General features: G+C 48.4%; 1 protein-coding gene across 5 annotated transcripts in view, besides 1 other annotated feature; it reads left to right on the forward strand.

Moving 5' to 3' along the window:
* The window catches only part of PRKCA (protein kinase C alpha), a 508,131-nt gene extending 497,094 nt beyond the window's left edge, over positions 1-11,037 (forward strand). For all 5 annotated transcript variants that reach the window (XM_047436388.1, NM_002737.3, XM_017024837.2 and 2 more), the window contains one exon: positions 4,167-11,037. In XM_047436388.1, the coding sequence (XP_047292344.1) occupies positions 4,167-4,331 (165 nt within the window). In that variant the 3' untranslated portion in view covers positions 4,332-11,037. The remainder of the gene's footprint in view (positions 1-4,166) is intronic.
* Positions 7,214-8,063: an enhancer, noted in NCBI's record as "H3K27ac-H3K4me1 hESC enhancer chr17:64803038-64803887 (GRCh37/hg19 assembly coordinates)". NCBI's record gives its function as "activates a minimal SCP1, AML or CMV promoter by ChIP-STARR-seq in naive H9 embryonic stem cells {active_cell/tissue: H9 hESC(naive)}" and the evidence as "EXISTENCE:reporter gene assay evidence [ECO:0000049][PMID:30033119]".

The following is a 17,379-nucleotide window of genomic DNA, read 5'->3' on the forward strand; positions in this document are numbered from 1 at the left end:
TAGTTTTCCACATTAACATCTTGCAAAACAAGTAGTTCAAGATCTTCTCCAGTTTGACTTATAGTAGATTGTCTATTTCCAGGGCTACTTTTGCTAAGAGCTGTGGAAGGCTCATTTATAATGCATTGGCAGACCTTCTATGGTGGAAAAGGAGACGATGTTTCTCACCAGGCCGAATCTGGAGTAGAAATAGCTGTGCTGCCCCCTGCCTCTTGGTGGGGGAAGGGGACTTCTCTGTGGTTTGATCTCCCTCAGAATAAAAAGTTCTCCTGAGTCTCGTAGCTGATCTAACCCTCAGGTCATCCTGCAGCCCTTCCAGGCTTTCTTCCGGTTTCTTGCTAAGACACACCCATGGCTCATTTCTGTCCCGTGGTTGATGTGGCTGAACTTCAGTGGTTCAGTTTCTACTGTTCGCCCTCGGCCTGTGCCTGCCTCTTATCTCTCCACCGAAGTGAACCAATTTAAGAAAAGCTTTCATTTGTTAAAGTGAGATTTCTCCCTCTTTGAGTTCAGGGAAAATTCCAAAGAGATTTACAGTGAGAAAGAAGAGGAAGGTGTTTCCAGCAGTGAGCAGTTTTGAGACCAGAAGCCACACAGCAGCACTCAGTGTGACTGCAGGGCAGCAACTGGGTTGATCTAGGCTCCACAACTTCCCCTTTAGCTCTGCAGACCTCAGCACAGGCGGAGCACGAGCCCTTAACCAGGAAGGGATTTTTGCCCCATTTTATCACAGTACTTAGCTTTTTGAGCAGTGGGCACCCTCAGGAGTGACCCTTCTCTGGACACCAGCTTTGGAATTGGATGTCCTCAAGCCTCCCTCTCCAGGCTTCTCAGTGGGGAGGTTTCTGTGGTCCCCTTTTTAGAGCTTGGGAAATCTCCTTTTAGTTTGCTTTTTAATTTTTCCTTGGCAGTAAAGCCATGGCTTTTGGAAACGTCCCATTGGACGATGATTCATGAATGCCATAAAGACAGGACTAAAAGGAAAGGGTCAGACCTGTGCACTCTTTTTGCAGAACACATTGATAAATTTAGAGCAGGACAGACATCCAGCCTAGACGTCTATCTGTGCAGCCCTAAATTCATCAACGTGTCCTGTGAAATGGGGAGAGAACATTTTACTTTGCTTTGCTCATCCTTTTAGGGACTCAGTCCTTTTATTAGATTTTTTCCAGAAATTCCTTCTTGCTCATCTTTGCATGGTTAGTGAGTATCAAGAGAAGCACAGATGATCTCTCATTAAAGGAGCACACATCCCAGCCTCTGGGAGCCCTGACTGTTGATTCACTTGAATTCTTCCAGGCAATAAGCATTGATGAATCAGGTTCCAAAAGGATGTTCCCAATGCCGACTCTACTGAGCTGTCACACTTGCTCCAAATGCTTTTGCCTTGTGACTTCTGCCGCTTCTCCATTCTCCGCTCTCACATACGGCTGCTCCTGCCTGATTCCCTAGTTTGGCTTCATGTCTGCCCTCACTCTGATCTTAGGACCTACTCAGCCTCACACAGTAGTCTTGTTATATCCCTGAGTTTCTCAGCAGCAGGTACTGTTGACATCTTGAGCCAGTCATTCTTTGGGGCGGGGGCAGTGTCCTGGGCCTTGCAGGATGTTCCACACCATCCCTGGCCTCTGCCCCCAGATGCCAGGCTTGTCCCACCCAAGTCATGATGACCAAAAATGGGTTCCCTGGGGGAAGAATCATCCCTGGTTGAGAACCACTGGTATAACCAGAGGAGGGCTATTTCTTTGGCTGTTGTCATCTGAATGTGGAATTCCAAGGAAAGTTGGTTTCTGTTTGTTTAACTGATGAATTAAGTACAGACTCCCGATTAATTTCTAGGAAGAAACAGCATGCCCTTATTTATTTTTCAAAGAGCCTTTCTCCGTGTTTGCAAATGGCCTGTGCACATAGGGTGATGTGAATTGCAGATTCTGCCTCTGCTGACCTTGGCTTTGAGGTACTTTGTGCTCTTCCAAGGAAATACACCATGGAAACGTGGGGTGTGAGAGTGGAAGCTTTGCCAGCCCACATGTGGGAGGCAGGACGGATGTGACAGTAAGCCTCATGTCTGTATGGCTCCACAGAGTAACTTGAAAGCCCACAGGCAGCCCCTGCCTCTCATCCCCTCTGCCCCACCACACACATCACCCACATACTCACCATTCATTGTGGTGTGAAATCTCCTTGGGTGAAGAGTAGATGGTTGCTTATTAAAATGGAAATAAGCCCAGAGGCTGGACGCGGTGGCTCACACCTGTAATCCCAGTACTTTGGGAGGCCAAGGCCAGCAGATTGCTTGAGCCCAGGAGTTCGAGACCAGCCTGAGCAACATGGTGAAACCCTGTCAATACAAAAAATGCAAAAAATAGTCAGGTGTGGTGGTGCGCACCCGCAGTCCCAGCTACTCAGGAGGCTGAGGTGGGAGGAACGGTTGAGCTCAGGTGTTGAGGCTGCAGTGAGTCGTGCTCCCACCACTGCACACCAGCCTGGGTGACAGAGTGAGACCCTGTCTCAAAAAAGAAAAAAAAATTAATAAGCCCAGAAAGGAAAGCTGTTTGTCATAAAGACCTTACTTTGAATTTATGACATGCTTTCCACCTCAACAGGTACTTAGGAGCAGGTTTTATTTGATGAAAAGTAGGTGGGAAAAGGGTAATGAAAGTAGCTTCGTCGCTGGGCGTGGTGGCTCATGCCTGTAATCCCAGCTACTCGGGAGGCTGAGGCAGGAGAATCACTTGAACCCAGGAGGCAGAGGTTACAGTGAGCCGAGGTCACGCCACTGCACTCTAGTCTGGGCGACAGAGCAAGACTCCATCTCAAAAAAAAAAACGAAAGTAGGTTCTCAAGCACACCTCCTAGAAGATAAAGTGTGAAAAAAGAGCTGAGAAAGCACAGCCCGTGAGACTCAACTGCCTTATAAAAACACTAGCAGCACGTGCTGGCCTCTCGCCTCGGCTGGGTTCTGTGCAAAACCCCATACATTTCACCTTCCTGACAGCCTTGGGCAGGAGGTGTGATTGTTCTCCCAGTGTTACAGATGAGCAAACTTGGTGGACCCCACTTCACAGTTAATCCAGAGCTATTCTCTGTTAGAGACCCAAGGATGCCTGGTTAGTTTGAAATGTGTGCTAGCTCAGAGTTAATTCATATTGGCCCTGTGGTGCTAGCAGCAGGTCCAAGGGCAGTAATTGGCAGCATCTTGAAAATCATTCTTAGGATCCTTAGTGAAACTCCCAGCTCTTCCTGCTTCAGAGTCACCCTGGGCTCCCGGGGACTTCAACACGCCACTACCCTTGTGGGTGGCTGACAAGGTGAAGAGAACACTCCTTCCCCACTTTTGGGGTCAGGCTACCAAGCCGTGCTGCCTAAGCGGCTGTGTGTCTCAGCGACCCCAGTGCAACAGTTCTGCCTGGAGTGGACCCTGGAGGAGAGGAACAGCCGAGACAGCAGGCCTCTCCCTGCCTCCCCAGGGCGCCATGCAAACATCCTCCAGCCTGAGACCACCCTGCAAATAAGCTCCAGTCAGTCACCCAGCCTGCCCGCTGGCCAGCTCTGTCTAGGTGTGCTAAATCCTAGCTGGGCCAGGTGCAAATCTCCCAGCCTTGCCGCCACACCTACCTCATATCGCTTGAAGCTTAATTTAGGGGCTGGGGTTGCTGGAGCAGCCCAGTAGGAAGGCAAGGATAACACAGTTTTTACTTCACTACAAATATTGCGGCAAAAAAACAGATGTGGGGCAGTAACTCACCCCGTCGCTTGGTCCAGGGGTAACTGCCTGCAGCCCCAGCCGACATCCTGGCCTTTCAACACGGAGCTGTGACTGACGGCCCTGCGTGCGTGGCTTCCGTGCTCTCAGCTCCGCTTGCTCGGTGAGGTGGACGTGAGGGGACAGGGGCTGTCCCCTTGTTGCTGCCTCATTGCCAGCCGTGCAATTCCCACCCAGGGCTTCTGTTCGGGGTGTTTCAGGGTTTACAGTTGGGTAACTCGTTGTTGTCTGCTGTGCCTGGCTTTTCAATCCAATAGGCCTGCAAGTCCTCCGAGATTCCTCCTCCTAACCAGCCCGGAGTTCCCCAGGGCCGTGCCCCTCCCCAGAGAGGGCCCTCGGAGAGCTGCTCCCGCATTGTCATGTTGACTGACCTTTCCTTCTTTTTGTCTTTTCTCCACAGTGTGGCAAAGGAGCAGAGAACTTTGACAAGTTCTTCACACGAGGACAGCCCGTCTTAACACCACCTGATCAGCTGGTTATTGCTAACATAGACCAGTCTGATTTTGAAGGGTTCTCGTATGTCAACCCCCAGTTTGTGCACCCCATCTTACAGAGTGCAGTATGAAACTCACCAGCGAGAACAAACACCTCCCCAGCCCCCAGCCCTCCCCGCAGTGGGAAGTGAATCCTTAACCCTAAAATTTTAAGGCCACGGCCTTGTGTCTGATTCCATATGGAGGCCTGAAAATTGTAGGGTTATTAGTCCAAATGTGATCAACTGTTCAGGGTCTCTCTCTTACAACCAAGAACATTATCTTAGTGGAAGATGGTACGTCATGCTCAGTGTCCAGTTTAATTCTGTAGAAGTTACGTCTGGCTCTAGGTTAACCCTTCCTAGAAAGCAAGCAGACTGTTGCCCCATTTTGGGTACAATTTGATATACTTTCCATACCCTCCATCTGTGGATTTTTCAGCATTGGAATCCCCCAACCAGAGATGTTAAAGTGAGCCTGTCCCAGGAAACATCTCCACCCAAGACGTCTTTGGAATCCAAGAACAGGAAGCCAAGAGAGTGAGCAGGGAGGGATTGGGGGTGGGGGAGGCCTCAAAATACCGACTGCGTCCATTCTCTGCCTCCATGGAAACAGCCCCTAGAATCTGAAAGGCCGGGATAAACCTAATCACTGTTCCCAAACATTGACAAATCCTAACCCAACCATGGTCCAGCAGTTACCAGTTTAAACAAAAAAACCTCAGATGAGTGTTGGGTGAATCTGTCATCTGGTACCCTCCTTGGTTGATAACTGTCTTGATACTTTTCATTCTTTGTAAGAGGCCAAATCGTCTAAGGACGTTGCTGAACAAGCGTGTGAAATCATTTCAGATCAAGGATAAGCCAGTGTGTACATATGTTCATTTTAATCTCTGGGAGATTATTTTTCCATCCAGGGTGCCATCAGTAATCATGCCACTACTCACCAGTGTTGTTCACCAACACCCACCCCCACACACACCAACATTTTGCTGCCTACCTTGTTATCCTTCTCAAGAAGCTGAAGTGTACGCCCTCTCCCCTTTTGTGCTTATTTATTTAATAGGCTGCAGTGTCGCTTATGAAAGTACGATGTACAGTAACTTAATGGAAGTGCTGACTCTAGCATCAGCCTCTACCGATTGATTTTCCTCCCTTCTCTAGCCCTGGATGTCCACTTAGGGATAAAAAGAATATGGTTTTGGTTCCCATTTCTAGTTCACGTTGAATGACAGGCCTGGAGCTGTAGAATCAGGAAACCCGGATGCCTAACAGCTCAAAGATGTTTTGTTAATAGAAGGATTTTAATACGTTTTGCAAATGCATCATGCAATGAATTTTGCATGTTTATAATAAACCTTAATAACAAGTGAATCTATATTATTGATATAATCGTATCAAGTATAAAGAGAGTATTATAATAATTTTATAAGACACAATTGTGCTCTATTTGTGCAGGTTCTTGTTTCTAATCCTCTTTTCTAATTAAGTTTTAGCTGAATCCCTTGCTTCTGTGCTTTCCCTCCCTGCACATGGGCACTGTATCAGATAGATTACTTTTTAAATGTAGATAAAATTTCAAAAATGAATGGCTAGTTTACGTGATAGATTAGGCTCTTACTACATATGTGTGTGTATATATATGTATTTGATTCTACCTGCAAACAAATTTTTATTGGTGAGGACTATTTTTGAGCTGACACTCCCTCTTAGTTTCTTCATGTCACCTTTCGTCCTGGTTCCTCCGCCACTCTTCCTCTTGGGGACAACAGGAAGTGTCTGATTCCAGTCTGCCTAGTACGTTGGTACACACGTGGCATTGCCGCAGCACCTGGGCTGACCTTTGTGTGTGCGTGTGTGTGTGTTTCCTTCTTCCCTTCAGCCTGTGACTGTTGCTGACTCCAGGGGTGGGAGGGATGGGGAGACTCCCCTCTTGCTGTGTGTACTGGACACGCAGGAAGCATGCTGTCTTGCTGCCTCTGCAACGACCTGTCGTTTGCTCCAGCATGCACAAACTTCGTGAGACCAACACAGCCGTGCCCTGCAGGCACCAGCACGTGCTTTTCAGAGGCTGCGGACTTTCTTCCAGCCATTGTGGCATTGGCCTTTCCAGTCTTGGGAGGAGCGCGCTGCTTTGGTGAGACACCCCCATGCAAGGTCCTCAGAGTAGCCGGGTTCTACCACAAACAGAAACAGAATGAAAGTAGCTGTCAGTCCTTGTAGAGAGCCGCTCTGTTTCCTCCCAGAAGCATCTCCCAGCTAAGCTCGCATTATTTTTCTCCTCTGGCTGTTTGCCTGAAGTTCACAGAACACACAACCATGAAAGGCTTTTTGAGGTGAGAGGCCCAGGTGGTCCTGGCAACCCTGAGTAGAAGGAGAGACGGGGTAGGGAACGGGCCCGGCCAGAAAAGAACCATTTCTTCTGCCATCTTTTATGCACCATAGACATCGAGACTCCAGGGGGTCCTGGCTCCCCTGTCCCTGCAGCCCTGCAGGTCAGTGCATGATCTGGGTTCGTGTCCTGACCAGGTGCTCCTCCTTTGATCCGAGGGGAAAGGGACTGGTTTATAGAAAGAGCCTAGGAGACAAAAGGGCCAGTCCCCCTGCCCAGAATGGAGCAGCAGCAGGACAGACCCCCACGAGGCCCCCCAGAGAGGAGGAAGATCCCACGGAGGAACACATGAGGTTAGGGACCCTTGTTCAGCACCCCAAACAGCCTGCCTGTTTAAAGCAGGCAGCAGGCTTAGGCCTTCCCTGCAACCCCAACACCCACAAGTTTGTTTCTCTAGGAAACACATTCACTGTCTCAGCTGGCTGTTACTCTCTCAGACCATATGGCAAAGTTTTCCAAGAAAATGCCCCGACAGGGGTGCCCAGCACACTGCCTGAGGGACAACAGACATCAGAACAAACCCCCAGAGAGAAACAGTCAAAATCAGGGCCCGGTGCAGTGTTGTCATGTGGAACCTGCTTTATCCATTGCTGAGTGTTGAATGTGGGTAATGGTTAGGGCTTTCCAGATCTCAGCAGCCAAAGACAGTTATTGTTGGAAGACTGTCATGTAGATAACCATGAGCAATGGCTCGCCTCAGAATCAGTTCATAAAATTCTATGGTACTGGCCCCTTCGTGGGTATTGTGTGAAATGAGATGGTGGCGAGGGGTGCGCTGTGGAACTGCCGCAGCCACGCAGGAGGTCCCTGGGGGATGCTTTGGGAAGTCCTTGCCCCTGAGCACTGCCTGATTGCCAGGGCCTGTGGAGGTCTAGGCCGCCTGGCAGAATCTAGCACCGTCCGAATCCCCGCAGGACCCATGGAGCTATGACCACACCAGGCCATTCAAATGGCTCTGCATTATCTTCCCTTGGAAGGTGGCCACTCCTCGGTGGCAGGGCCTTTCCCTGAGGCTGCAGGCCGTGGGCTGGCAGCCCGTCTCTTGGCATTTCAATTGAAGGTCACCAGGTGCTGGGTTTGAAAGGAAGTCACTGGAGTGCTGCCAGGGGCCGCCCTCCAAGGTTAATGAGAGGCCCACATCCAGGCAAGAACTAATTCAAAAGGCAGATCAGAAACCACAGGAGTCAAAATTATTGCTCCGGCAGTGCTTCCCTTCCTTTCATCCACTGGCCTCGTGTGGTCCATGCAGGGCCACTGTCTGCCCTTTCTGATGCCACGTATTAGGCTTTCTTACTCAGAATTTTGATAGAAAACCATGGGGCCAAGAGCTCTGGAAGCCTGGCCGGAAAGACCAAGGTTCATGCAGCCCAACAAATGATTGTTGAGCACCTCTCGGAGCCAAAGTCCTTAGGCGAGTGTGGTGACTTCCTGGAAGGAGGATGCAGACTTCCAGAGAGCCCCCCCAACGGACGTGCTGAGAAGGGAGAGGGAGGCGGGGGCTGTAGTCAGGAAGGAGCCAGAGAAGAACAGGGTTTGGGTGCATCCAGAAATATGCCTGCAGTAGGAGGGAGAGGAAGGGGTGCCACCGTCAACGGCTTCCCATCGGAGGTGGTTGGTGCAGATGGAAGTTTCTGTCTGCTGGCCCTCAAGAGAGTGTTTTGCCAGGGACACAGTCTGTTCCTCCTCAGAAAACACCCCCCAAATGCTAACAACATCCCCACCAGCTGCTAGAAGCCCCTTTCCCCTCCCCACCTTGAAGTAGCTCATAGTTCTCTGGGCAGAGCCAGACCATCCAGTGTACCCCAGAGGCCAGTAGGTTCCTGCCCATTTTCCTCTCTGGCTTCCTGCCAAGAATTATGGCAGCTGAGGATGAATGGAGAAGTAAAAACAACTAACACCGCACAACTAACAACTAACACCGCAGTTCCCACCTGGGTTCCACTTAGCAGGAGACATTTCGGAGGGTTTTTTTTGTTTTTGTTCCTGTTTTTTTTTTTTTTGCTGGAATTTGTTTTCTCAGTACTGAAAAGAGAAAAAGTGACAATCTTGTATTTTTAAAAGCCTCGGAAAGGTGATACCATCTGACAGTCATTTTCTCACGTTGGTCTTCTAAAGTCACCTATTTCTTGTGTGTGCACATCACACCATTTCCTGTTTCTTTATAACCCGACAAGGGTAGGAGTGCCTGTTTCCCCTGCTGGGCACACCAGACAATCGTAATCACAAAACAGACACTGAGCCAGGGGCCCAAAGGGTGTGATCATGAGAGTTACCGGGACAGCAGTAGGCATGACAGTCACCAGGAAGGACAAGGGTGCTCTGTTGTTAGTGGCCACACACCAATTTGACAAGGAGTGTTGCGAAATTTTTATTTATTTATTTATTTATTTTGAGATGGAGTTTCACTCTTGTTGCCCAGGCTGGAGTGCGGTGGTACAATCTCGGCTCACTGCAACCTCCACCTCCCAGGTTCAAGCGATTCTCCTGCCTCAGCCTCCCAAGTACCTGGGACTACAGGTGCGTGCCACCACACCCAGCTAAATTTTGTGTTTTTAGTAGAGATGGGGTTTCACCATGTTGGCCAGGATGGTCTTGAACCCCTGACCTCATGATCTGCCTGCCTCGGCCTCCCAAAGTGCTGGGATTACAGGCATGAGCCACCACGCCCAGCCAAAATATTTTTTTAAAGTCATTTTCCTTAAGCTGCTTGGGCTACATGTGAAATACACTGGACGGTCAACATTCCTGTCTCCTCCCATTTGGGCTGATGCAGCAGATCCAGGGAATGTTACCTGTTTCTGCTGCTAGAAGATCCAGGAAATTGGGAAGGTTACCTGACGCACACATGGATGAAGGCCATCATCTAGAAATGGGGTCAACCACAATTGTGTTAATTCCGTAGTGTCAGGGATTCTTCGGGAAGGTCAACAGTATGAAGGATTCTGACCCCTGTGCCTCCCATTTATGTGATCAGGTGACAGTTAATAACCGTGGAGGTCACACTCAGCCATCCAACAGCCTTACAGTGACCCTACACAAAAGCCCCCAAATTCCAAAGACTTTTTCTTAACCTAAAGGAAGAAATTATTTGTTAATTCCAGTAGAGCAACTGAATATACTGGGCTATTTGTACTTTTTTATAGAGAACTTTAATAATAATTCTTTAAAAATGAGTTTTTAGAACAAAGCAACTGACGATTTCCTAAGATTCCAATGCCCTGGAGCTTGTAGGAGGACTTAGCCTGGGTCAGCTGGAGCACCCCCGACCTGATCTCCCACTGCCAGATTTTCCCATGCTCCTAGGGTATGGAGTCCACGTGGGAATGACTGCAAGTTCAGGTGGAACTTGGCCGACTGATGCTCTGCGAGTTTTTAATAGACACTGGGGACAACTGCTTAAGGTTTAGAAACTTCCAAACCACAGGAAAGACATTTTTAGTGTCCCCCATCCAGAGGCAGCCCTGGAATAGGATTCCCAGGGGTTTCTGGGACCCCTTTCCTTGCTCCGTGAGGCTCTGTGGCCATCTTTTGGCAGGAGGAGGATGCTTCCTTGGCTCTGTGCCCAGACCCGCCTGGTCCCCAGGTCTCTCACCTTGGGTGAAGATTCAGAGATGCCCTGTAAGGATTTTGCCCACTGGGCAACTCAGAAATACTTCGATCTCCCAAGATATAAGAGGCAGCAGCAAACGTGCCTATTGACGTCTGTTTCATAGTTACCACTTACGCGAGTAGACAGAACTCGGCTTTTCAGAAAATAGGTGTCAAGTCCACTTTATAAGAACCTTTTTTTCTAAAATAAGATAAAAGGTGGCTTTGCATTTTCTGATTAAACGACTGTGTCTTTGTCACCTCTGCTTAACTTTAGGAGTATCCATTCCTGTGATTGTAGACTTTTGTTGATATTCTTCCTGGAAGAATATCATTCTTTTCTTGAAGGGTTGGTTTACTAGAATATTCAAAATCAATCATGAAGGCAGTTACTATTTTGAGTCTAAAGGTTTTCTAAAAATTAACCTCACATCCCTTCTGTTAGGGTCTTTCAGAATATCTTTTATAAACAGAAGCATTTGAAGTCATTGCTTTTGCTACATGATTTGTGTGTGTGAAGGACATACCACGTTTAAATCATTAATTGAAAAACATCATATAAGCCCCAACTTTGTTTGGAGGAAGAGACGGAGGTTGAGGTTTTTCCTTCTGTATAAGCACCTACTGACAAAATGTAGAGGCCATTCAACCGTCAAACACCATTTGGTTATATCGCAGAGGAGACGGATGTGTAAATTACTGCATTGCTTTTTTTTTCAGTTTGTATAACCTCTAATCTCCGTTTGCATGATACGCTTTGTTAGAAACATTAATTGTAGTTTGGAAGCAAGTGTGTATGAATAAAGATAATGATCATTCCTTTGTGTAGTTGGCCTTATTTACATCCCTTTGCGGTATGGCAATTATTTTTCCTCCAGTGTTCAAAAAATAGCATTTGACTTCAGACACACTCCGCAGAACACTTTCATCTCTTCACCTGTTTTTCAGGCATGACCCTCCATTTATAGTGGCATTTTTTTTTTTTTTTTTTTTTTTTTTTTACTTAAAAAATATATCTTGCTTTGAATCAAAGCCCAGACAGTGACTGGGATGGCGTTCTGGCAGGTCCTGCGTTCATTCATTCATGCACTGTTCACAGAGCCCCTGCTTAGGGCCAGGAGTTGTGTCAGGCCCTGGAGAAGAAGAGGCTGGCATGGCCCCTGCCTGCACGGAGCTTACAGTCTTCTGCCCCAAACTGCAAGGGATGCCCAGCAACTGATGACATCATCTAAGGCTGGATGGTGCCCTTCCCCTGGAAGGAACGATTCCAGAATGAATTCTGCTCAAGTCTGGAGATGTTTTCTCCAAAAATAGGTATTTTTCACACATCCCGTTGGCCACACTGTGGATGCAGCTTCAGGACCGTCCCCACTCTGAGTGTCAGCCGCCTCGTTCTGCATTTATTCACGGTTGAAAAATTGGGGGAAATGTTCAAATGTGGAACATTCAAAAATACCCAGCACTTAACAACTCAACGCAATAGAGGGAATTGTCCTCAAAAAGAATTAAAACAGGCTGGGTATGGTGGCTGATGCCCATAATCCCAGCACTTTGGGAGGCCAAGGTGGGAGGATCACTTGAGGCCGGGAGGTCAATGCTGCAGTGAGCTACGATTGCACCACTGCACTGTAGCCTGGGTGACAGAAGGAGACCTTGTCTCTTAAAAAAAAAAATCAACAACAAACACCAAAGCCAAGATCCAACCTTGGTAAAGTCAATCTTTGCTGATTTCCTCACCTCCTTTTGGGGAATGCTCTCCCCTCGTGCTCATGGCTTCAACCCACTGCTGCCACCCTCCCTCCCATAGCCCCCTAATCCTGCAGCCGCCCAGCCCAGCCTGTTCCTCCCAGCACACTCTGCATCCACACACATGCCTCCCTGCGTTCTCTTCCCTCTGGGCCTTGCTCCCAGCCAGATTACTCGAGTGTCAGCATCCTCTCAGTGGATTTTTCCCTCCCTAAGATGCCGCGGTCACACTCAACCTCCTGGAAGTGAAGGCTCTTTCAGCTGCCAATGCGAGGGCTGGCGGGGAAGCTATTTTGAAGAAAAACAAAGGGCAATTTTCAGGTCTTCAGAGCAATGTGGTCTCTGCCCCACTGGGCTGGCCCTGACCTTCACTCCGGGCTGGTTGACCTCACATACGTGTGTAGCTGTGGCTATTCGTCACGTTACGTTGCCCAGCAGAGTAGCTTACCATGGCCATTGAGCATGCCCTCTGCTTCCGCCAGTGTGCTGTTTTATTTCATTTTTGCTGCAATGCGGAATGAAGCAGAGTGGGCCACCAAGCAGCATCCTCACAGGCAGCTGGTGACCCGAGGAACTGAGTAGCTCCACCCAAGTTTACCCCTGCAGGGAGGTCTCGGGTGTATCCAATATGGCTGGTCCTCCCGGCCCCACAGAGGCAGCAGGGACAACCTGAGCACCAGGCAGTGGACAATTGCTCTTCCAGGGGCACTGTGCGCCACCCAAAGTGGATGCTCAAAAACGAGTCCTTCTGTCCAGTACTGGCCTCCCTGTCACATGCCCACCATGCCCATCAAGTTCATGAGCAGGCACTGTTGGGGCTACTCTAAGTCAGGGTTCTCGGCCAGAGGCCATGTAGCCACCCACGGGGCACTTGGCAATGCCTGGAGACTGTTTTGGTTATCATAACTAGAAGGAAGTTGCATTGGCATCGAGTGGGTAGAGGCCAGGGGCGCTGCTAAGCATCCTGCCATGCACAGGATACCCCCAGCCCTCAACAAGGTGTCATCCCACCCAAATGTCGGCGCTGCTGCTGTTACAAACCCTATTCTAAAACACACTCCGAGTTCCCCTTCTCTCCATCTCCCCTGTTCTTTCTCTCTGGCCTCCTTGACCCTCATGGCCCTCTCTGCTCAGCAGCCAGCAGGACCTTGCCTGAGCAGGCCCCTTCCCTGTTGAAAGCCCTCTGTGGCTCCCATCACCCAGCCTTCCTCATGGCCTTTCATCCTCACATGCCCAGCTCTGGGACCAAGGATTCAATGGTTGGGGAGAGTGAGTTCTCTCTCTCTCTGTCTCTGTCTCTCTCTCTCTCTCTCTCTCTCTCTCTGTGTGTGTGTGTGTGTGTGTGTATACGCACACCCTTTCCCATGAGAATAGAAGCTCTAAGAGGAGCCGGCTTGTCCATCCTGTTTGCTGCTACATCCCAGTGCCTAGAGCAGAGCCTGGTAGATAATAGGAGCTCAAAATGTTCATTGAATGACTGAGTCAATTAATCGTTCCCAAAACTGCTCTGAGCCTAGCAACGTGTTCCAGACACCCTTACTGGGCCATGGGATTTGCCCTGGAGGTGTTCACACACTAATGAAGTAGATAAGATATACAAAAAAGAACTAATTAAAGATCATCTCTCAAACTCATGATGAGCTTCAGCCTAGGAAACACCAGTTCTCAACCTCTGTCCTTCAGCCCAGAATCTAGAGGCGATGGCTGCCTATGGTTACACTTGAGTGATTATTTAACTCCCTGAGCTTCCCCCCTGCCCCTGGCTTATTGTGTGCTCTGGGGATGAAATTATGGTTCAGCTAAAATGCTAATGCACACGGGCAAAGGCCAAGGCCATCTATTTTCACACTCTGTCCCCATCCTGGGAGTGCACATCACAGAGAGCAGGGCATTGCCTGCAGGGAGTGGGTGAGAAGTGCTTTTGGCTCTAAGAAAGCAGAACTGGATGTCTCCCCAAGATTCTTTTTTTAACAAAGCTAATTCAATAAATACATTGCAAAGAGGCCTATTCTAGCCATAAGGGGAGAAAGTGGAAAATGGTTCTAGTGAAATGAAAGAGCTAGTGGTGGGCTCAGGGACTCAACAGACAGGTGGAAATGGCACAAACCAAAAGTCTAAAGGGGGCTGTAAATGGGAACGCGCAAACTGTGCACGCACACACACACGAACACACATGCATACAGAGATGCACACACACACATGCACACAGACACGCAAACACACGCATGCACACAGACACATGTGCACACACAGAGGCACACACACTGATTGATTACCAGAAGTGTACCAGGCACTCTTCTAAGTTCTTTATGTGCATTTATTTCAATCCCACAATGACAGCCCCTGCCCCCAGATAGGTGCTGTTTACTGTGCCCATTTTACAGAAGAAGAAAGGGAATTCCAGGGAACTTAAATAACAACACATAGGTGAACAACACCAGACAAATGGAGCCAACCGAAAGAGCAGAGATGTGAGCACGCCAGATGCCTTCCTGGGGGAGGAGGCAGGGAGGCTGAGGTCTGATGGAAAGGCTGGAAAGGAGAGGTCCCAAACAAGCAGACACCAGCACGCAGGGAGGAGGGGAAGGGCTGGCATGCGCGCAGTGCCTAGCTTGTCATCTGAACACACCCATCTCATTTAATCCTCATGACACCTCCATGGGCTGGAGGCCATTGTTCACATCTCACAGATGGAGAAACTGAACCCCAAAGTAATTAACCAGCTTCCAGATACGCAACTCCTAAGCAGCACAGCCAGGCTGGGCACTGAGTCTGATCTTCCTAGCCTTGTCCCATGAGAGGGTCAGATGTAGCATTGGGTAGGGAGCTTCAGGGCCAGACCCTGTTGGGGAACTTCTCCCCCCACTGTGGTTTCATTCAAAGTCCATCCTATTACCAAGGGGGATGTTCCTTGCCCTTAGCTGACTCTGATGCCTATGAGACTAGATGCCCTCCTGGAACTGTTTCCAGAAGGCTTTCTTCCACCATCACCCTCCTTCTCTCGACATTTTTTTTTTTTTTGGAGCTGTCTGGGCGTGGGAGGAGAGAGAAAAATAGCATCACAGTTCTCAGAACACAGCAGGTGCCTCTGCAGCCGCCCTCACCTGACTGACTTGCCTGGAAGGCCCAGGAGGAAGGAGGAAGCGGGCAGGAACGGCTGGTGGGCCCCAGGCTCCCCCTCCCACCACAGGACAGCCCTACATTGAGACCCCAGCTCCACCTACCCCAGGAGTCAAAAACAATCCAAGGCAAGCATCATCCAGTGAGCAGAACAACTTGTGAGAAATCACTGATTTCTTGGGGGCACTGGGCAGCCCGGGGAGGAAAGGTTGGGCTTGGTTAGGTCAGAATACTGTGGGAATGCTTCTGGGTTTTTGGAAAATTTACAAAAAATAACACCTGCTTATTGTAGCTAATACAGATGAGGAAAAGAAAATCCCAACTTCCCAAGATGGTTAAACTTTTTGATTCCTTGCTAACTTTATTTATTATTCATCATCTTGTTATCTTTTCAAGACTGTACCATGGTATTAGCCTGTTTTCACGCTGCTGATAGAGACATACACGAGACTGAGTAATTTACAAAGAAAAAGAGGTTTAATGGACTCACAGTTCCACGTGGCTGGGGGTGGGGTGCTCACAATCATGATAGAAGGCGAAAGGCATGTCTTACATGACGGCAGACAAGAGAGAATGAGAATCAACTGAAAGGGATAACCTTGATAAAACCATCAGATCTCACGAGACTTATTCACTGCCACGAGAATAGTATGGGGGAAACCGCCTCCATGATTCTATTATCTCCCACTGAGTCCCTCCCACAACACATGGGAATTATGGGAGCTACAATTCGAGATGAGATTTGGGTGGGGACACAGACAAACCATATCAACCTCAAAGCCCTCTTATGAGACTCCACTGGGCCTTGACATTGGTCACTGAAAGCTAGGATCACAGATGTTAACACACACATCCTTTAAACATTTTGTTATGACTTTTTTTTTTTTTGAGGCGGAGTTTCACTTTGTTGCCCAGGCTGGAGTGCAGTGGTGTGATCTTGGCTCACTGCAACCTCCACCCCCCGAGTTCAAGCAATTATCCTGCCTCAACCTCCCGAGTAGCTGCGACTACAGGTTTGCATCATCATGCCCGGCTAATTTTTGTATTTTTAGCAGAGGCGGGTTTTCACTATGTTGGCCAGGCTGGTCTCGAACTCCTGACCTTGTGATCCACCCGCCTCAGCCTCCCAAAGTGCTGGGATTACAGGTGTGAGCCACCGTGCCTGGCCTTTATTGTAACTTAAAAGCCAATAAATGCATGACCATTCAGTAAGGGTGGGGACTTCTCTCTGAGCAGGGAATTTCTTTCTTGCATTAACTATACCCATAATACTTGTCTTACAGTTTCCAGTTAGGGTTTATTCGAAGAGAAGCCAGATATTCACAAAGAAAGCTGAATGCAAAGTCCATTTAGATTGTTGCAATATTTCTTAATCTTTTACAGTTGCCTTGCCCACAACTGTCTCTGTAGCTGTTTTTAAAAACTCGTTATTCTTTTTCTTAAACATTCCATTTTGTGTTCACTGAAACAACTCTATGCTTTGCACTTGTATTTCATTGGTTTATGTGGAATTTGATTAATTACTTAACTACAAAGCAACGTAGCAGACATTCAATGTTTTGGGAATGAAATTGACATTTTCTTACTAATTCCCCTATTGTTGGAATTTTAGGTTTTCCTGGTTTTTAAATTATTTTGAAAACTCATTGTTGAACACCTTTGTTCCCAAAATTTTGAATGCATTTTAGATTATATCTTCCACTGGATTCCTGGAAATACAATAGCTGAACTTTTTTTTTTTTTTTTTTTTTTGAGACGGAGTCTCACTCTGTCGTCCAGGCTGGAGTGCAGTGGTGCGATCCTGGCTCACTGCAAGCTCTGCCATTCTCCTGCCTCAGCCTTCCGAGTAGCTGGGACTACAGGCGCCCGCCACCACGCCCGGCTAACTTTTTATATTTTTAGTAGAGACGGGGTTTCACCGTGTTAGTCAGGATGATCTCGATCTCCTGACCTCGTGATCCACCCACGTCGGCCTCCCAAAGTGCTGGGATTACAGGCGTGAGCCACTGCACCCGGCCAATAGCTGAACATTTTTTAGACTCTTGGTACTTCTTATTTCCTGTTTTTCTTCTTGAACCCTGTTTTCTTTTCTTTTCTTTTTTTTTTAGATGAAGTCTCTCTCTGTCACCCAGGCTGGAGTGCAGTGATGCAGTCTCAGCTCACTGAAGCCTTCGTCTCCTGGGTTTAAACAATCCTTCTGTCCCAGCCTTCCAAGTAGCTGGGACTACAGGCATGCACCACCACGCCTGGCTAATTTTTGTCTTTTTCTGGTAGAGTCAAGATTTCATCATGTTG

The sequence above is a fragment of the Homo sapiens genome, chromosome 17 (genome assembly GCF_000001405.40).
Source record: "Homo sapiens chromosome 17, GRCh38.p14 Primary Assembly".
Classification (NCBI taxonomy): domain Eukaryota; kingdom Metazoa; phylum Chordata; class Mammalia; order Primates; family Hominidae; genus Homo; species Homo sapiens.